Source organism: Homo sapiens, chromosome 2 (assembly GCF_000001405.40).
Source record: "Homo sapiens chromosome 2, GRCh38.p14 Primary Assembly".
Lineage (NCBI taxonomy): Eukaryota > Metazoa > Chordata > Mammalia > Primates > Hominidae > Homo > Homo sapiens.
Genome location: NC_000002.12, coordinates 25,757,502 through 25,777,680, shown reverse-complemented (window position 1 = coordinate 25,777,680; position 20,179 = coordinate 25,757,502). Strand labels below are relative to the sequence as shown.

Sequence of the window (20,179 nt, the reverse complement as noted above, 5' to 3'; positions counted from 1 at the left end):
TGAAGGTACTCAGTGTAGTCACTAAAAGGAATTATAAGACAGAAGTTTCTCAACAGAGATAAGTTTAAATCTTTAAGTCTCTTTTTTTTTTTATTAAACGATAGGGTCTCATACTGTCACCCCCTAGGCTGGAGTGCAACCTCCCAAGTAGCTGGGACTACAAGTTTATGCCACCATGTCCAGCTAATTAAAAAATTTTTTTTTCTAGAGACAGGGTTTCATTATGTTGCCTAGGCTGGTGTCGAACTCCTGGCCTCAAGTGATCCTCCCACCTCAGACTCCCAAAATGCCGGGATTATAGGTGTGAGCCATGTGCCAGGCCTGTGTTTAAGTCTTATTTGCTGCTTGTAATACTGAGTCTTTAAAAGTTAGAACAAGCCTGGACAACATAGCAAGACCCCATCTTTTAAAAAAAAAACTTAAAAATTACCTGGATGTGATAACACATACCTGTGGTCCCAGCTACTCAGGAGGCGAAGGTAGGAGATTGCTTGAGCCTCGGAGGTCAAGGCTGCAGTGGGGTGCGATCATGTCACTGCACTCCAGCCTGGGCAACAGAGTGAGACCCTGTCTCAAAAATAACATATAATAATTTTAAAAGTTAGAGTAGTAGTTAAGTTTCATAGAGCAGTACTTAGCATTAAGTCAACTCTGGGAAATGTTTATACTGGTGGGTCCTGTAATTTTCATGATTTATTTTGGTTGGCTTAGTTAAATGCTGTGGTTTAATTTGTTAAAAAGGGTGTTTGGCTTAAAGGTAAACATTCTAAGCAGTTTGTCCTGGTAATTGCAGATAGCTTTATTGTCACTTTTCTGGGCTGCAGAGTAGAATTATTATATTTTCTAGTGGAGTTATTCTGGCTTTTTGTTTTCTGTTTGTAATCAGGCAGTATTTGGGGTAGGCGAGGAAATGTATAGTCTTGAGATTTCTGCAAGACGTTGTTAAGAAAATATTAATAGTTTTAACTTTTACTTTTGTCTCTTTAAAAACATTGGCCAAGTAAAAAAGACAGACAATAATAAGCATTGGCAAGGATATAAAGAAAGTGGCCTTGTACATTCCTGGTGGAATTGTAAAAATAGTGCATCCATTTTGGAAAACAGCTTGGCAATTCCTCAAGTTAAACATAGAGTTACAGTAAGACCCAGCAATTCCACTCATAGGAATGAACCCAAGAGACTAAAAGCACATACATAAAACATCTGCACACAAATGTTCTTCATAACATTGTTCATAATAGCCAGAAAGTAGAAACAATCCAAATGTTCATCAGCTGATCTATAGACAAAACGTGACATAAGCATGCAATGGAATATTATTTTACGATAAAGAATAAAGTATTTATACATATTGAAACATGGATGAGCCTTCAAAAGTAAGCACTTTGTTGAAAAAGTCATTCACAAACGAGCACTAATGTATGATTTCATTATATGAAATATCCCTAAGAGGCAAATTTATAGAGACAAAAAGTAGATTACTGGTTACCTAGGACCACGGACATAGATGGGGTAAAAGATGAGTAACGGTTAACATGTATGGTGTTTTTTGAGGGGTGATGATTGTACAACTTGGTGAATATACTGAAAGCCATTGAATTTTATGCTTTTTTCCCCAACATTTTCAAAATAAATTTAATTTTGTTAGCTTACTAGGGAAAATTAAATCACTAGTCACACAACAAATTGACTCTGAATGGATTGCAAAACCAAAGTTTAAACCTAAATCCTGATGCTTTTAAAAGAAAACAGAGAATAACATCTTTGTGGTCTTAAGATAGAGAATGATTCCTTAAATAAAACAAAAGATATTTAATATAGTGGGGAAATAACAAATGAGATTATTTAAATATATTTTAAGTATTTCTCAGACAGAAAGAGGAGGAGACTGAGAGAGGGTGTATTAGGTTGTTTTCACACTGCTATAAATACCTGAGACTGGGTAATTTATAAAGGAAAAAGGTTTAGTTGACTCATAGTTAGTTCCACATGGCTGGGGAGGCCTCAGGAAACAACAATCATGGCAGAAGGCGAAGGGGAAGCAACCAACTTCACATGGTGGCAGGAGAGAGAAGCGAGAAAGAGCAGGGAAAACTGCCTTTAAAAACCATCAGATCTCATGAGAACTCACTATCACGAGAACAACGTGGGGGAAGCTGCCCCCATGATCCAGTCACCTTCCTACTTCAACAAGCGGGTGATTACAGGTCACTCCGCTGACACGTGGGGATTACAATTCAAGATGAGATTTGGGGCCCAGCGAAGTGGCTCGTGCCTGTAATCCCAGCACTTTGGGAGGCTGAGGTGGGTGGATCACCTGAGGTCAGGAGTTTGAGACCAGCCTGGCCAACATGGTGAAACCCCGTCTCTACTAAAAATACAAAAATTAGCTGGGCGTGGTGGTGGGCACCTGTAATCCTAGCTACTCAGGAGGCTGAGGCAGGAGAATCACTTGAACCTGAGAAGCAGAGGTTGCAGTGAGCTGAGATTGTGCCATTGCACTCCAGTCTGGGTGACAAGAGCGAAACTCCATCTCAAAAAAACAAAAAAAAGATGAGATTTGAGTGGGGACACAGAGCCAAACCATATCAGAAGACTAACTAAAAAAGGACATCTATCTAGCATACATAAAAAACTACCACAAGTCAACAAGAAAAAGACAGCTATTAATAAAACCACGAGAAGACAGGCAAAATGAAATAACAGTCTTCAAAATAGAGGTTATTCAGTGACTAAAAAAATGTTAACAAGTGTTCAGCTTTCTTAGCAATCTGAGAAAGCCTGATATAAACACAGCAACCAGGAGATTGAAATGAAAATGACAGAGAATACCAAGTGTTGGCAAGGATGTAGAAAACTTATACACTGCTAGTGGCTTCAAAATTTTGTACAAACATTTTGGAAAACTGGCAGTATCACCTAAAACTGAAGAGATGTAAACATAAAACACAATTCCGCTACTACATATATACCCCCAAATCTTTATGTGTTACCAATGCATTTTCTAGAATTTAGATACTAGTACTATTCCTAATATTCCCAGATGAAAAACACTCACATGTACATAAGCAGTGGAATAATTGTGTGATATTTTCACAACAGAATTCAATGCTATTAAATGATTCACAACATGGAAAACTACATATAAATTCAAAACAGCCTACAGAATGTAAAAAGACATGTACAAAAGAGTTCCTGCTGCACAATATTTATATAAAGTATAAAAGAGGTAAAAGTAACCTCTGCTATTAGATGTCAATGTAGTGCTCATCCTTGAAGATTGTGACCGGCTGGGATCACAAAAAGATAGCTGTGGGCTTAAAATATCCTTTTTTAAAAAATTTAAATATAAAAAGCTTCAGTGTGCTACCCACTTGTGATCTGTGTACATATGTTTAAATATTTTAATTTTTTTAACTTTTGTTTTAGGTTCGGGGTACATGTGCAGGTTGTTTGTATAAGTAAATTATATGTCATGGGGGCTTGGTGTACAGAATACTTTGTCACCCAGGAAATAAGCATAGTACCTAATAGGTAGTTTTTTTATCCTCACCCTCCTTCCACCTCCACCCTCAAGTAGGCCTCAAATTTTATACTTTAGGCAAGATGTATAGTATATGAATTATATATATATATATTATTTTTTCTTCTGTGATGGAGTCTCACTGTGTTGCCCAGGCTAGAGTACAGTGGCGTGATCTCAGCTTACTGCAACCTCCGCCTCCCAGGTTCAAGTGATTCTCCTGCCTCAGCCTCCTGAGTAGCTGTGACTACAGGTGTCTGCCACCACACCCAGCTAATTTTTGTATTTTAGTAGAGGCGGGGTTTCACCATGTTGGCCAGGCTGGTCTTGAACTCCTAACCTCAAGTGTTCCACCTGCCTCGGCTCCCTTTGGGATTATAGGTGTGAGCCGCCGTGCCCAGCTGCATAGTATAAATTTTATCTTAAGCTATTTTTTAAAAATTGGTCAGTATCAAAGTATACTGAGGCTATGATTTTTGTTTTTTTTTTTTTGAGATGGAGTCTCTCTCTGTCGCCCAGGCTGGAGTGCAGTGGCGTAATCTCGGCTCACTGCAAGCTCTGCCTCCCAGGTTCATGCCATTCTCCTGCTTCAGTCTCCTGAGTAGCTGGGACTACAAGCGCCCGCCACCACACCCAGCTAATTTTTTTGTATTTTTAGTAGAGATGGGGTTTCACCGTGTTAGCCAGGATGGTCTCAATCTCCTGACCTTGTGATCCGCCCGCCTTGGCCTCCCAAAGTGCTGGGATTACAGGCGTGAGCCACCGCGCCTGGCCAAGGCTATGATTTCTTTTTGCAGCTGAACTGTCTTGAATTATTCAACTCCATTTTTAAACATCAAGCTTTTTGTACATCAGCTCTTTTCCATATATAAATTATATACTTTTTCATAAAGGTTGGGATACAGAACTAAACTAAGTATGACGATAAGTCAGCATCTTTTTTTTTTTTTGAGATGGACTCTCGCTCTGTCACCCAGGCTGGAGTGCAACGGTGCGATCTCGGCTCACTGCAACCTCCGCCTCCAGGGTTCAAGGGATTCTCCTGCTCAGCCTCCTGAGTGCCTGGGATTACAGGCATGTGCCACCACACCCGGCTAATTTTTGTATTTTTAGTAGAGATGGGGTTTCACCATATTGGTCAGGCTGGTCTTGAACTCCTGACTTCAGTCGATCCGCCTGCCTCAGCCTCCCAAAGTACTGGGATTACAGGCGTTAGCCACCACGCCCGGCCAAGTCATCATCTTAATTGTTTGATGCTATCTTCTTTAAATGCATCTGCTGTGCATTCCTTTCTTAGGACATCTAAGTAAATTGAAATACTATAGTCCAAAACTTGCATACTCCAATGAGCTATGCTTCTACATTTTTATGTCCGGTAGCTAGCTACAGAACGTATGTACCTTTTTTTTTTTTTTTTTTTTTTTTTTTGAGACCAAGTTTCGCTCTTGTTGCCCAGGCTGGAGTGCGGTGGCATGATCTCCTCACCACAACTTCCGCCTCCCAGGTTCAAGCGATTCTCTTCCCTCAGCCTCCTGAGTAGCTGGGATTACAGGCATACACCACCACACCTGGCTAATTTTGTATTTTTAGTAGAGATAGGGTTTCTCCATGTTGGTCAGGCTGTTCTTGAACTCCGACCTCAGGTCATCCACCCACCTTGGCCTCCCAAAGTGCTGGGATTGGAGGCATGAGCCACCGCACACGGTCTTGTGTGTACTTTTATGACATCTTAAAGCTTATTGCCCTTACCATGGGATATCATTTTGCTATTTGGGCCTTTTCAGTCCAACTACTATGAATAGGGGAAGACTTTAGTAAACATTCATTCTTCAAGAGTCATCACTAGCAGTAGTGATTATAATTTTTTTTTAATAAGGGTACTGAATCAGCAATTTCTGTATTTATCGTAAACACTACTCACATATTGTTTAATTTTATAGAACATAAATATCTACTTGCTGTTTAAGAGGTATAGATTCTTAAAGAACCCTTGTTCGCATAAGACCCACTCAGATCTGGCTAAACTCTGCCAGGCAATATAAAACAGCTAGTGATGAAGTAGAGAGTGGTTACATCTTATGCAAATTCAAATTGCTTCCATTAGAGACATCTTAAAATGCCCTCTCACGTTGGTAAGCCTGTAACTGTTGATTTAAAGGATGAAGGAATGTAAGGATTAAAACTGTGGTAGAGTTTTGAGGTCGAATGGCCTTAATGTCTTTATTTTAAACTGCCAACCCAAGGCCCTTCCACTGTATCGTGTTGTCATTAGATTTACTGTGAGACCATAGATACTGTCTTAAAGGCCCTAGAATCTTTCCTAAGTTTTATCTGATTTGATGAGTCATTCTTCAGTCAATTCTATTGAAAAAGTAATAAATGAAAAGTAATGAATACTAACACTCATCCCTTCCCTATCCTATCATCCTTCATTAGAACTTTCTGAGGAAAAAAACTGAAAAGGGAGGCTGTTTGCAGTAAAACTCCAAAAAGTACATCGTTCCCAAAAGTGTTTGGTCATAGTTCTTACTCCAGGTAGCAGCATATGATTGGGGAAGGAATGGTGCTTGGTATCTCTGTTAACAAAAATCTTTTATTGTCACTTTTTTTTCCCTAGTATCGTCGTCCTCCCCGCAGTCAGGCTGCCCATCACCCACCATTCCAGCAGGTAAAGTCATTTCTCCATCACAGAAGCACAGCAAGAAGGCACTAAAGCAGGTAAGCATTGCTAGTCTGTATTTATCAAGTAGAATTTCCTGTATTTAAAACGCACACCTCTGGCAGTCATCGGATATTTTTTGAAAATTTTTTACATTGGGCCCTTGCCAGTGGAACTTTCATGCAGTAGCCCAATGTGGTTTTAGTAATTTATGCACCTCTTTGTAACACATGTTACATACGTTTTTGGTAGATACTTTGTTTTTCTGAGACAGAGTCTCAGTTGCCAGGCTGGAGTACAGTGGGTGCAATCTCAGCTCACTGCAACGTCTGCTTCCCAGGTTCAAGCAATTCTCCTGCCTCAGCCTCCCAAGTAGCTGGGACTACAGGCACCTGCCACCACGCCCAGCTAATTTTTGTATTTTTAGTAGAGACAGGGTTTCACCATGTTGGCCAGGATGGTCTCAATCTCTTGACCTTGTGATCTGCCCACCTTGGCCTCCCAAGGTGCTGGGATTACAGGCGTGTGCCACCGCACCTGGCCGGTAGATACTCTTTTTATCACATTTTTTAAAGTGTCTAATTTGTTCGTAGTTTGCTCAGAATCTTTTGTTTGTTTGTATATGTGTTTTAAAATCATGAATAGGTATTGAATTTTTCAGGTTTGTTTTCTTTGGGATTTATTGAGATGATCACATAGATTTTTCTCTTTTAATCTACTAACACAGAGAATTACACACAGCTAGATTTTCTTTTCTTTCTTTTTGTCTTTTTTGAGACGGAGTTTCGCTCTTGTTGCCTAGTGCAACCTCCGCCTCCCGGGTTCAAGCAATTCTCCTGCCTCAGCCTTCCAAGTAGCTGGGATTACAGGCACCCATCACCACGCCTGGCTAATTTTTGTGTTTTTAGTAGAGACAGGGTTTCACCACGTTGGTCAGGCTGGTCTTGAACTGCTGACCTCAAGTGATTCAACTGCCTCGACCTTCCAAAGTGCTGAGATTACAGGCGTGAGCCACCGCACCTGGCCTAGATTTTTTAATATTACACTGTACATAACTTGGTTGGGTGCAGTGACTCACGCCTGTAATCCTAGCACTTCGGGAGGCCAAGGCAGGCGGATCACCTGAGGTCAGGAGTTCAGAGACCTCCTGTAATCCCAGCTACTTTGGAGGATGAGATGAGAGAATCATTTGAACCCAGGACGTGGAGATTACAGTGAGCCGAGATCGTGCCACTGCACTCCAGCCTGGGCAACAGAGCAAGACCCCGTCTGAAAAAAAAAATTAAATAATAAAAAATAAATGAATGTACATGATCACAGCAGAAATAGATGCAATCAAGTGGTTCTAATAAATTTTACGTTAACCTGAAATTACATGTGTCCTGTGAGGAGCAAGGAATGAATACTGGTGACTGCACTTGCAGGAATTTATGAACATCTTCTGATCTAATTGCAAAGAATGAGAGAATAAGCGATAATCAATGGTCAGTCAATACTGCCATTTTATGTACTTTGTGCTTCTGCCTCACCTATTATAAATGTAGGTGAGGCTAAGCGAGACATAGAGCTCTCTCAGTTGCTTTTCTGCATTGGCAACTTAGAGTGAGGAGATCATTTGTTGCCACTGTGCCTATAGCATAGCCAGAGATACGTGTGAAATGTTAAGCAGGAGGAAACTATTGGGAAAAGAAAATAGGAAACCAGAAGTAGCCAGTTACTCCACACTTTGCTACATGACAGTCTTAAAAGCTTGAAAATGGCAACCTAGCAAAGTCAAACTTCAGTTTTTTTCCTGAAATTACTTTCTTCGTTTCTTTTTCTTTTTTTTTTTTTAAAGAAAACCTTAAGTTAAAAGTTGCCTTCATAATGTTTTTGTGATTAAAATTTGGGTATTTCTTGTTTTTTTCTGTTCATTTTAAATAGCATTATCAAGTATATTTTATAAATTAAGAACCTCATAGAAATCAAAATATTCTGAAGTAGACAGAAGGAACCACACTGTTGTTAGAACCAGTATTGTCTAGTCTTCCCCCTCTGTTTACTGCTTTGCTGTAAATTGCTGAAATTTGATAATTGGGACAAATCTCATTGCTGTCACCCAAGACAACTGATGTAGTTATTTACAAACTTCTGTAAAAATATTGTATCTCTGAAGCCTGCGTAAACTGAATATTTACATTTCTACATAGGTTTGATGCAGATAGGGCTCTTTTTGTTATAAGGCTTAGAATTTCATTTCTAGAAATGATTGAAAACGTACTGTCTCTGCTTTACAAGACTGGGAAGTTTTTGGCTTACCTAGTGATTTTTTTAAGTTCCAAAAAATGCTAATGACTTTTTCACATTTATATAAAGGAATGATACTGGCAAAAACTATCCAAACTCTAAGAATCATTTAGGCCTTGTGTTTAGTTGGCTTAATTTAAATTGATAAGAACAGATACTACACTTGATCTTAGCCAAAAGGCCAAGAAGCGAGAGTTAGCTTAATTTAGGTTTTTGTTTGCTTTGATAGATTTCAAAGAAATTGAACGATCAGCATGCTTCTTGCCATTTAAAAAAGAAGTAATTTATATTATTACTAAAAAACTGATTGGTTTTGTTTCTTATAGTCTGTTTTATCTTTATAGGCGCTAAAGCAGCAACAGCAGAAGAAGCAGCAGCAGCAATGCAGGCCAAGCATATCCATCTCCTCCAACCAGCATCTCTCACTAAAGACTGTCAAAGCAGCCAGTGACTCTGTACCTGCCAAACCTGGTAGGCAGTTTGGGCAGTTTTTCAATGGAAGTTTCTTTTTCCTAGTATTTTTATGTTGGTTTTCCTGATTTGTTTATGACATCATTTATTTTTAAATTATATTTACTTACACAATCCTTGTACTGCCAAAACATCAATATAAATCCAGGATAAATGGGAAAAGTTGTGTGCAAAATAATCATGCAGTTATTAAAAAATAACTCAGAGCCCAGGAGTTCAAGACCAGCCTGGGCAAAATAGTGAGACCCTGTCTCAACAACAACACAGAAAATTAGCCGGGTGTGGTGGGGCACACCTGTAGCCCCAGCTACTCGGGAAGCTGAGGTGGGAGGATTGGTTGAGCTCGGGAAGTCAAGACTGCCATTAGCCCTGATCTCACCACTGCACTGCAGCCTGAATGACAGAGCGAGACACTGTTTCCAAAAAAAAATGTTAGCACTGGGATTTGCATATAAGAAGGAAATAAATGACTGACTTTAAAGATGGTCTAATCTAATAAATATTTGGAAACCTCTAATCAGCAACCTTAAAATCTGATGTTTCCAAGAGGCTCAAACTAAACTCTTAGCCAGTTTTCTGTAAAAATAACAGGGTTTCCTAAGAATACATACAACCTTTGAGTTTCTTTTGGACATGTCTGTAAGGCCTTTGGATCTTTTGTTGTGGTTGCTTGTTTGTTTCTACTCTAAACTTTCTAGACACAGACTCTGTATTGTATTACATAATTCAGTTTGATACCATAAGCTGATTCTATGGGCCTGCCAGACTCAATCTGAATCTTACAGAACTGCATTTTTATGAGAAAGGAAATTTACCACTAGAAGCAAATAGTATGCTGGGAGGAAAAACAGGGTTTTATTTTACTCTTTGACTTTAATTTTCAAACTCAAAACACATTAGGGAGGGTCACATTGCCTCATACATAACTTCATTTAGTGAATGTTGAATGATTGATTAATTGATTCTGTCTATAATCTCAGTGCTACCAGTCTTTATACGTATTTTTTTCTCCTAGCAACATGGGAAGGAAAGCAATCTGATGGACAGACAGGCAGCCCTCAAAACTCAAACTCCAGCTTTTCTTCCTCAGTTAAAGTGGAAAATACTTTACTAGGCTTGGGGAAGAAGTCATTCCAGAGATCTGAGAGACTCCATACCAGTAAGTTTGCTTACAAAGACTTCAGTTTTCATTGCCATGATTTATCAGCTACATGTTTGAAATTCATCAGCTACCTGGCTTAGGTACTTATAACTTAGATTTGAGTTACATAGCAAAGATTAGACATAAGTTTTTTTTGTTGCTAACATAATTACTGTTAAGAAATGAAAAGTAACAGGAACGGAATTGATTTAGTATGTCTTTCTCCTGCTATCCCCTGTTTACCTTTGAGCTCTTGACTATGTTCATGTTCTTCCTGTCTTCCTCTTAACAAACTTTATTTCAGAGAAAGATCTATTATCAGTCATTTTGTGGTTTATTTCCCTTTCTGCCAATAGGTTGCTTTGTCCAGCATTATTCATGTTTTATTTCTGTGTAAAGAAAGATAGAAGGGCGTATGATTAAATATATATGACAGACTGAAATTTCTTCTCTCTATTCCTTTTGAAATCCCACTGAAATGATAATATAGAAATACAAAAGATCAAATCCATACAGGTGAAGAAAACAAGGAGACCACAGCTGGGCAAGAGATGTCAGCAAATTTTGAGAGATGAAAACTGGATAGAATTTTTCACTGAGCTGAAGAGCAGTTGCCAGGGATAAAGCAGCCACATAAGGTTGCAGAACACCGGGAAGGCTCAAGAATTGGAGATACAATGTATTACAGAAGAGAAGGGGGGAATTTTGTTTGAAAGTTAGTAAGAAGCAGTTTGATGCCTTACCCCAGCAGGAGACAGGAGGTTTATTTTGAAGTGAAATTTCAACCAGAGAAACTCCACATTCAGGGATATCAAACATAGCTGGGGGCAGATGAGGAGGCACTGTACTGAAATCTGGAAAATCAAGTAAAATGTAAATACTGTAAATACTGAATAGGGATTCTCCTCCTTGGCTTCCAAAATGCTACTAACAAGGCATATTTCTAACACCACTACTTCCTTCTTCCTCCCATCGTGTTCGAGCTTGAGATTGGTGGATTGGTACCTAAAGACATTGAATAGTCTTAGAAAAAAGTCTGCAGGCAAATGTATAGGTTCCCAGATAAGCAGAGATCATCTTGATAATGTTTCAGTAAAGTTGAAGAAATTTCTTAGAAAAATCTGTCAAAGTTAAAAAGAGGTTCAGTAGGAGAGAAAAAGTAAGAAACTTGGAACACCAATCTAGGTCGTACAATGTCTCACATAGTAGGACTATCAGAAAGGAAGAACAGAGTGTGATAAAAAACAATATAAGAACATTATTTAGAATAAAAAGCCACAGAATTCCAGATTAAAAATGTGTAATAGGCATTAAGAAACATGAGTGAAAAGAAACCTATGCCAAGGCATGTTTTTTTTTAAAGATCTCGAAACATATGGGGTCATGAAAAGGTAACAAAAAGCCTCCAGAAAGAAGAAAAATACTTCACATAGAAAGATTCAAGAATTGGGAGTACAGATATCCTTAGCAGCAACATGGAAACTAAAAGTGCAGCAGTGCTGACACATTCTGAGGGAAATTTATTCTGTATTCATTTACATATTCCAGACTGATCTAATGAGAACAGAATTAACAATAATTTAAACAATGCTTTGTAAAAAATAAAAAATAAAAAAACCTTAGTTTGATTCTAGAGGGGATTGTACATTTTTCTTAATGTAGTATATCACATATTTAAACCGAATGTGCCCTTTGATCATCAGTTTCACTGCTAAGAATAAAAATATTTATTAAATATCTATGGAAGAAATGCTAATAAGCCAAACACAGATTTAGAGTCCTAGGGCTATGATGATGAACAGAGCAATATTTCTTCCTCATGGAGCGCATATTCTACTTAAAATCAGTTAAAATTGAAAATTTTAGTAAATTGCAAAAGAAATGTAGAGGTACAAAATTGAGAAATTATGGACCAGGAATTTTTAACTTTCATGGAAAACTAGGAAAAATTAACCATAAAAAAAGAAAGCACCATTTCCGTTTATTTAAGTTTGACCTAATGGCTGAGAAGTAAGCAGAAGTCCATCTTCTTTCAAGCAAATGAGCGTAAAGGGAAATAGTGTGGAAATTTTTGTAACATAGCCACAATGACTATTTTCTTTTTTTTTTTCTTTTTTTGAGAGGGAGTCGCGCTCTGTTGCCCAGGGAGTGCAGTGGCCCGATCTCGGCTCACTGCAAGCTCTGCCTCCCGTGTTCATGCCATTCTCCTGCCTCAGCCTCCTGGGTAGCTGGGACGACAGGTGCCCGCCACCACGCCCGGCTAATTTTTTTGTATTTTCAGTAGAGACGGGGTTTCACTGTGTTAGCCAGGATGGTCTTGATCTCCTGACCTCGTGATCTGCCCGCCTTGGCCTCCTAAAGTGCTGGGATTACAGGCATGAGCCACCGCCCCCAGCCACACAATGACTATTTTCAAAACACGTGGAAGAAGTTGTGTAAAACATAAATGATAAAACTAAATTAGCTAATTTATATAAAATACTTTCTAGCTGACATTGGTATCATTTTTATTAACTTCAGTAAAATTGATAATAAATATTTTTACATCCCAGATTCAGTCAGAAGACTAAACATACCTCAGATTTCAAGTATAATATAATAGATTAAGTCAACCTAAATTGAAAAAACTTGGGTAAGTCATCTTTACTAAAATTAGAGGACTTAAACTGACCACTTTGAGGCACAAAAGTATCTTCAGGGAACACAGTTCAGTCAGTAGTAGAAAATAATTCACAACTACTTCCCAGTCTTTTAAGAAGTGAACATTTTAACTGAAGTTTGACTGCGATGTGCAGGTACAATGAATGCATAAATAGTAAAAATTTTTCAAGGAAGGTTGACAGTCCAATTCCATTAATTATATGGGAAAAGCAAACAAAGCTGTTGCTTCTCAAAAGTTTATAGAGGCATTGCAACATTGTTTATATTAATACAAATATTGTTTATATTAATACAAACATTGTTTATATTAAACAAAAAACTGGTAGCCACCTACCTTTATCATCAGTGGTATTCCATTTAAATTCATCATGGTATATAGCAAGTTTGCCCAACCCACCACAGGCTGCATGTGGCCCAGGATGGCTTTGAATGCTGCTCAACACAAATTTATAAGCTTTCTTAAAACATTATGAGATTTTTTTTGGTGATTTTTATTTATTTATCTTTTTGTTATAGCTCATTAGTTAGTGTTAGTGTATTTTATGTGTGGCCCACAACAGTTCTTCTCCTTCCAATGTGGCCCAGGGAAGCCAGAAAATTGGACACCCCTGGTGTATACATTGGAATGTGATGCAGCTTTTTTTAAAAGAAAGAAGATGAATTTGTAGGTGGTAATTTGAAAAATGTCCCAAGATATTTAGTGAAATTAAAAACCAAATATGATTAACATGTACATTGTGATTTCATGTTATCCAATTTAAAATGTCATTTCTGGCAGGAAGGTTGGGTTTGAATGTAGAAACCTTTGTTTTTATTTTGTATCTTTAGGTACTATTTGAATTTATAGACAACATTTACCTCTTAGACACTGTTTTTATTATTCACTTTGAAAAGATTTAAAATTTTATTGTAATTTATTCTTTGTCCCAGGAGTTATTTTGAAGTTTTTTTGGTTTGTTGTTGTTAATTTCCAAATATATAGGGATTTTTGTTTATCTTTTTGTTATGAAGCCTCTGGTCAGATATCATGGACTGTGTGATGCTTATGCCTGTGTGGCATTGTGATGAACAACAGACTTGAAAATCAAATCGCCTGGGTTTAAATTCCTACAGTAACTTAATAATGTGACTTGGGCAAGTTATATCTGGGCCTCACTTTCTTCATCTGTGAAATGGGGTGATAATAGTTACCTACTTCATAGGGTTGTGTGAAAAATAAATGAGTGAATATATGTAAATGCTTAGAACAGTGTCTGGCACTTAGGAAGCCCTATGTAAGTTGCTGCTGCTGCTGTTGCTCTTACTGCACTACTATTACTCAAAATTTACTGAGACCTCCTTTTTTTGACCTAATGATACTGAATTTAGAAATATACTCTAGTTGTTCAACACAGAATTCTGTGCTTGTTAGATCAAGCTTGTTAATCTGAAATCAGCTTTTTTTTTTTTTAACATGGAGTCTTGATCTGTCACCCAGGCTGGAGTGCAGTGGCGTGATCTTGGCTCACTGCAACCTCCGCCTCCCAGGTTCAAGCGATTCTCCTGCCTCAGCCTCCTGAGTAGCTGGGATTACAGGCACACGTCACCACTCCTGGCTAATTTTTGTATTTTTAGTAGAGACAGGGTTTCATCATGTTGGTCAGGCTAGTCTCCAACTCCTGACCTCGTGATACCGCCCGCCTCAGCCTCCTAAAGTGCTGAGCTGGGATTACAGGCATGAGCCACTGCGCCCAGCCTGAAATCAGCTTTTTTAGTGAGTGATAGCTCCTTCTGGTTTGCTTGATTTATTAATAATGGAGAGAGATGTGTTGAAATCTCCTATCCAAATGGTGGGTTTGTCCAGTTCTCCCTGTTCTTTCAGTTTTTATTTCACATGTTTTGAAGTTTCTTTATATTGGATGTTTTCATGTTTAAAATCTTTCTGATGGATTGAATATTTATTTACCTTATCGATCATCAAGTCTTTTTACTAAAAGTATCTTTCATTCGATGTTAATAAATGTATAACAGCTCCCCTATGGTTAGTTTTTGCCTGGTGTGTAACTTCATTTCTGTGTCCTTGTGCTTTACATAATCTCTCTCTAAATAGCATATAACTAGCTGAAATTTCTTTGTTTTGGTTTCAACCCAATGACAGGCTCCCATTTGATGAGTTTTATTTATTTACATTTACTGTGTTTGTTAATATTTGGACTTGTTTCTCAGTCATAGTTTTTTATCCTATGGCTGTTTCTTGTTTCCTTCTTATTCTTTTTTTTTTTTTTTTTTTTTTTTCGAGAAAGAGTCTCGCTCTGTCACCCAGGCTGGAGTACAGTGGTGCGATCTCGGGTCACTGCAACCTCTGCCTCCCAGGTTCAAGTGATTCTTCTGCCTCAGCCTCCTGAGTAGCTGGGATTACAGGGACCCGCCACCACGCCCGGCTAATTTTTTACTTTTAGTAGAAATGGGTTTTCACCATGTTGGCCAGGCTGGTCCTGAGCTCCTGCCCTCAAGTGGTTCACCTGCCTTGGCCTCCCAAAGTGCTGGGATTATAGGCATGGGCCACGACTCCCAGCCTCTTTCTTACTCTTCTTTTAAACTTCTGAAAAGGTTTTTTGGCTTTACTGATTTTTTTTTTTTTTTTTTTGGTGTGTTCATATTAATTCTCTTGTAGCCTTTTTTTTCTCTCTACTGAGTTTGGTATGCACTCAATTTCTCTTTTAGTGGTTAGTGATTCCTTAAATGGTACCACACTTCTAAAAAATTGATATATCATACTTCTATATATTTTTTAGTTACATGTGATATGTCTTTAATTCTTAAAAGTAACCATCTTGATTTTCCTCCAGAACAGTGGAAATACAACAATTCAGTGCTAATCTTTTCTATCTAGACTTAAATAAATATTATTGTCTTTTTTTTGTATTTTGTTTTTAACCTCACAAATCAGACACTAGAATACTATTATTTTATATAAATAATGTGGACATATATTTATCTACATGTTTACCTTTCTGTATTGTATTTCAACCCATTCTGCAATGATTTTCTTTCCTGAAGTACAATAAGAACTGTATTTATATCAGGTTTCTGAGTAGTGAACGCCTTCAGTTTTTGTTTATAAATGTCCTTTCCTGTTCATTTTTGAAGGATAGTTTGGTGGACATGCCTTTATAGATTAGTGGTTATTTTCTGTCAGCATTTTACAGATATTATCTACCTTATTCCAAATTTCATTTTAAGAAGTTTACTGCTGTTCTTAAATTCCTTTTTTTTTTTTTTTTTTTTGAGACGGAGTCTGGCTCTGTTGCCCAGGCTGGAGTGCAGTGGTGCGATCTCGGCTCACTGCAAGCTCCGCCTCCCGGGTTCACGCCATTCTCCTGCCTCAGCCTCCCGAGTAGCTGGGATTACAGGCGCGCACCACCAAGCCCGGCTGATTTTTCTATTTTTAGTAGAGACGATGTTTCACCGTGTTAGCCAGGATGGTCTCGATCTCCTGACCTTGTGATCTGCCTGCCTCGGCCTCCCAGAGTGCTGCGATTACAGGCATGAGCCACCTTGCCCAGCCTCTTTCATTCCTTTTTATGTGATCGTTCCCTTCCTCGTGGATGCTTTCAAGTTATTCTCTTTGTCTTTGATAAACACTCTTACTATGCTGGGTCTATGCATGGATTTCTTTCTGTCCTCTTTGGAATACGTTCCACTTCTAGAGCTTTAGTTTTGTAGTTTTCATCAGTTGCTGCAAATGTACAACTGTCAGTTCTTTGAATATTGCCTTTTTTCCATTCTCATCATTTTCTCATTCTTGAGCTTCAGTCAGGTATTTGTTAGACCCTCATTCTGTCATTTATGTTTTTGCTAAACCTCTAAAAATATTTTGTCTTCTCTCTCATATTCTGAGAGTATAAATTGGGTAAATTGAGGGTAAATTGTTTGGCTATATAGTGTAGACCCTCTTTAATATTGTGAAACTACTGTTTAATCGATTTCATCAATTTTTATTCTACATTTCTAGATGTCCCATTTTCTTAAGTCTATTAATTCCTAATTATTTTGTCCTTATTTTTGTAATTACATTATTTCCTTAAACATTTTGTACATAGCAATTCTGTATTCTGTATATCTGATAGCTTCAGTACTTCTAGGTCTCCATCTGTTATTTCTAGTCTCTAATGATTCTCTCTTGTAGTGGCATAACTTCTCATTTGTTGGGTAATCTTTCTGAAGTAGTAATGCCAGATTTTAATTTGTAGGAATCCAGTGGGATTAATTTGAGGGAAATCCTTTCTTTTTGTTTATGCTTCCGCCAGGAGGCAGAGGGTGTACCCACATCAAAGATTGTATAGCTTTGTGAAAGCAATTCAAAATGTAGAATTTCTGGATCCTGTAGTTTTATGTATATTAACATTTTGCTAGATATTGTTAGATTTTCTAAGATTATGCTGATTCAGCCCCATCAGCAGCATTTGAAAGTGCTTTTTGCTTTTTCCCCCTGCATAGTCCCATTACCATATTACAATATTTTGCCATTTTCATAGACAAATATGTTCAGTGGTTTAATTTGCATTTTTAAAAATATTAATATTTTAGCATCTACTTAAGGTTAGTGGACTGAATTACCTTTTAATTTCCTTTGCTCATTTTTCTCTTGGTGGTATTTGTCTTTTTCTTATTGATGTGTAATTGCTGTTTTCATATGAAGAAGAGCAACCTTTTGTCATGGCTTCCAAATATTTTTTCCAGGTTGGTCTTTTATATATATATAAATTTTTATTTACATTTTAATCCTTTGTGTACTCAGTTTTTTGAAAGATTGTAACCTTCTGGTTGTGGACAGATTTCCTGAAACTGCTAGGCTATTAAATCATAATATTTTTAGCCAATGTAAATTAAAATCAGTGAAAAAAAAAGTCATGAGAAGAGGCAAAGGAAGTCAGTATGATTTGTAGATTTGGGTTTTCTTTCTTAGACATTCTTCATATCATTTATCATAAACTTTCTCAGTTTTTTGGGGGAAATAATCTAGTCTCAAACATAAAATGCAGTTTTAGTATGGTAGAAGACCCATTTTTACAGACTTTATTCTATTTATGCAGAGAAGGTAGATACATTGTATTCTTTTATCCTCTATAAATGAACAAAACTTGTTTTGTTAGTCTTAGAAGAAAATTCTAAGATCTTAAGTGTTACCTTCTTCGTAGTGTGATATTTAAATGCTTACAATTGTGGATTTTTTATACTGCACAGAAAGCTACAGTTTATATAGAAACAGGACTTGTGAGGGAGGCCCAAACGATTCTTCTCTGTTTTTGTAGGACAAATGAAAAGAACTAAATGTGCTGACATTGACGTTGAGACACCGGACTCCATTCTGGTTAATACAAATCTGCGAGCACTGATCAACAAGCACACATTTTCAGTCCTTCCTGGAGATTGCCAGCAACGACTGCTTTTACTACTCCCAGAGGTAGATCGACAGGTGCGTCATTGAACTCCTTAAGATTTTAAAAATAGCTGTTTATGTATACTTGTAAAGTGGTATTAATGGTACTAAGTGAGAAGTAAGAATATTTTTACATAAGTTTCTTAATAGGCAGGTTTTTTTAAGGCTTAGGAAAAAAAAATTCTCCTACCAGAATTTCAAGATGACAGAATTATTTTGACTGTATTAGGATGTAAGCATCCATAGAATGAAGGTGAGGAGGAAGCCAGACATGGTGGCTCACACCTGTAATCCCAGCACTTTGGGCAGCCAAGGAGGGCAGATCACCTGAGGTCAGGAGTTCAAGACCAGCCTGGCCAACATGGCAAAACCCTGTCTCTACTAAAAATACAAAAATTAGCCAGGCGTGGTGGTGGGCGCCTGTAATCCCAGCTACTCGGGAGGCTGAGCCAGGAGAATCGCTTGAACCTGGGAGGCAGAGATTGCAGTGAGCCAAGATAGTGCCACTGGACGCCAGCCTGAGTGACAGAGTGAAACTCCATCTCAAAAAAAAAAAGAATACATAAACTTCAGGAGGAAGAGTTGTCTTGGTCCAGTATCAACAGGATGTGGGCCAGTGCTTCAGTGGAGTGGGAAATGTCAGGAATAAGCCAAAAACATGGGTCCAGATAAATAAATAGATCTGGAAAGACAATACAACATGGTATGAACAGTGGTGGACTTGGGAATGTTTGCAGTTTGCATTCTTTTGTTACATTTTGCTAAGAGAAACATTTATTACTTTCATAGTAAAGAACTTAAAACCCAATGTAAATTATACTTAAAAAAAAAAAAAAACAAAAGTAGCAAAAAGAAATGCCAAAGGTTTGGCAAGCGTCAAGGCAGGGACCAGAGAGCTTTAGTGATTTACCTTGGTCAGGAATAAAGAAAAGGTCTGAGACTTTGGCTTTCATCAAGGAAAACAGTGTACCCAGTCACTCCCCCTTCTGATCTTCTGTTTCCTCCCTCTGTAAAAGGAAGATAGAACAATTACAATTTTTTAAGCTTTCTTCACTTCTGAGATTTTTAAAAATCTCAGCTGTGTTCTAAGTAATGTGATAGGTCTCCCCAACCCCCAACTTTTAAGAATGTTTATTAAAATGATGAGAGGGAGATGTTTTCCTTAGTTTACACAGTAAAAGAACTGGTTATACTCTCTTGTTCGTAGTAAGAGGATAACAGAGAATGAGTAAGCTACAGAATTCATTATTAGCTAATTGACTTACTGAAATAAAACTAAATCTTTCTAATTCTGAAAATAATCTTTCTACTAGACTGCATTGATATCAGTTTCATAGTGTTGTGAATCAGAACATGTCAAAGGAGTTCAGAGTCCATTGTCCAGAGAGCCCAAATAAATGAGGTATTCTTACAGCAGTGGGGACAAAGAAGTAAAACCGGTCCTTCTTGGTAACTGCTCTCCCTACATAACTCTTGGAGAAATTATAGCTTTGAGGATGCCAGTTCTTGGTTAGAACAAGTTAGGAGACTGAAGTTTCAGCAGTTTTAAGAGAACCTCTTGGAGATTGCTCTCATCTTTTTTTTTTTTTTTTTTTTGTTAAAGACTCAGGGTTGTTAGGCTGGGAATACTAGTACAGGATGTAACTGAGGGCCTGTTTATGGAATTCTAATGCTGGTTCCTCAGAACTATCTTTTGACTAATGTTCTTTATCAAGTTCTAAATCTGGAGGATTGCCACATACAATTTTAGAATTAAAAGGGATCTTAGAGGTTATCTAGTTCATTTTCCCATAGAGTGCAATCCTGGGGGGTATTCTTTTTTTTTTTTTTTTTTTTTTTTTTTGAGATGGAGTCTCCCTCTGTCGCCTGAGCTGGAGTGCATTGGCTCGATCTCGGCTCACTGCAACCTCCGCCTCCTGGGTTCAAGGAATTCTCCTGCCTCAGCCTCCTGAGTGGCTGGGATTACAGGCGTGTGCCACCATGCCCGGCTAGTTTTTGTGTGTGTGTGTGTGTTTT

General features: G+C 37.9%; 1 protein-coding gene and 1 pseudogene across 3 annotated transcripts in view; one reads left to right on the top strand and one right to left on the bottom strand.

Moving 5' to 3' along the window:
- ASXL2 (ASXL transcriptional regulator 2) overlaps window positions 1–20,179 on the top strand; it is a 144,735-nt gene that overhangs the window by 100,807 nt on the left and 23,749 nt on the right. For all 3 annotated transcript variants that reach the window (NM_018263.6, NM_001369346.1, NM_001369347.1), the window contains 4 exons: window positions 6,141–6,241; window positions 8,813–8,939; window positions 9,955–10,098; window positions 18,036–18,199. In NM_018263.6, the coding sequence (NP_060733.4) occupies window positions 6,141–6,241; window positions 8,813–8,939; window positions 9,955–10,098; window positions 18,036–18,199 (536 nt within the window). The remainder of the gene's footprint in view (window positions 1–6,140; window positions 6,242–8,812; window positions 8,940–9,954; window positions 10,099–18,035; window positions 18,200–20,179) is intronic.
- On the bottom strand, window positions 8,493–8,661 carry LOC124906191 (uncharacterized; annotated as a pseudogene).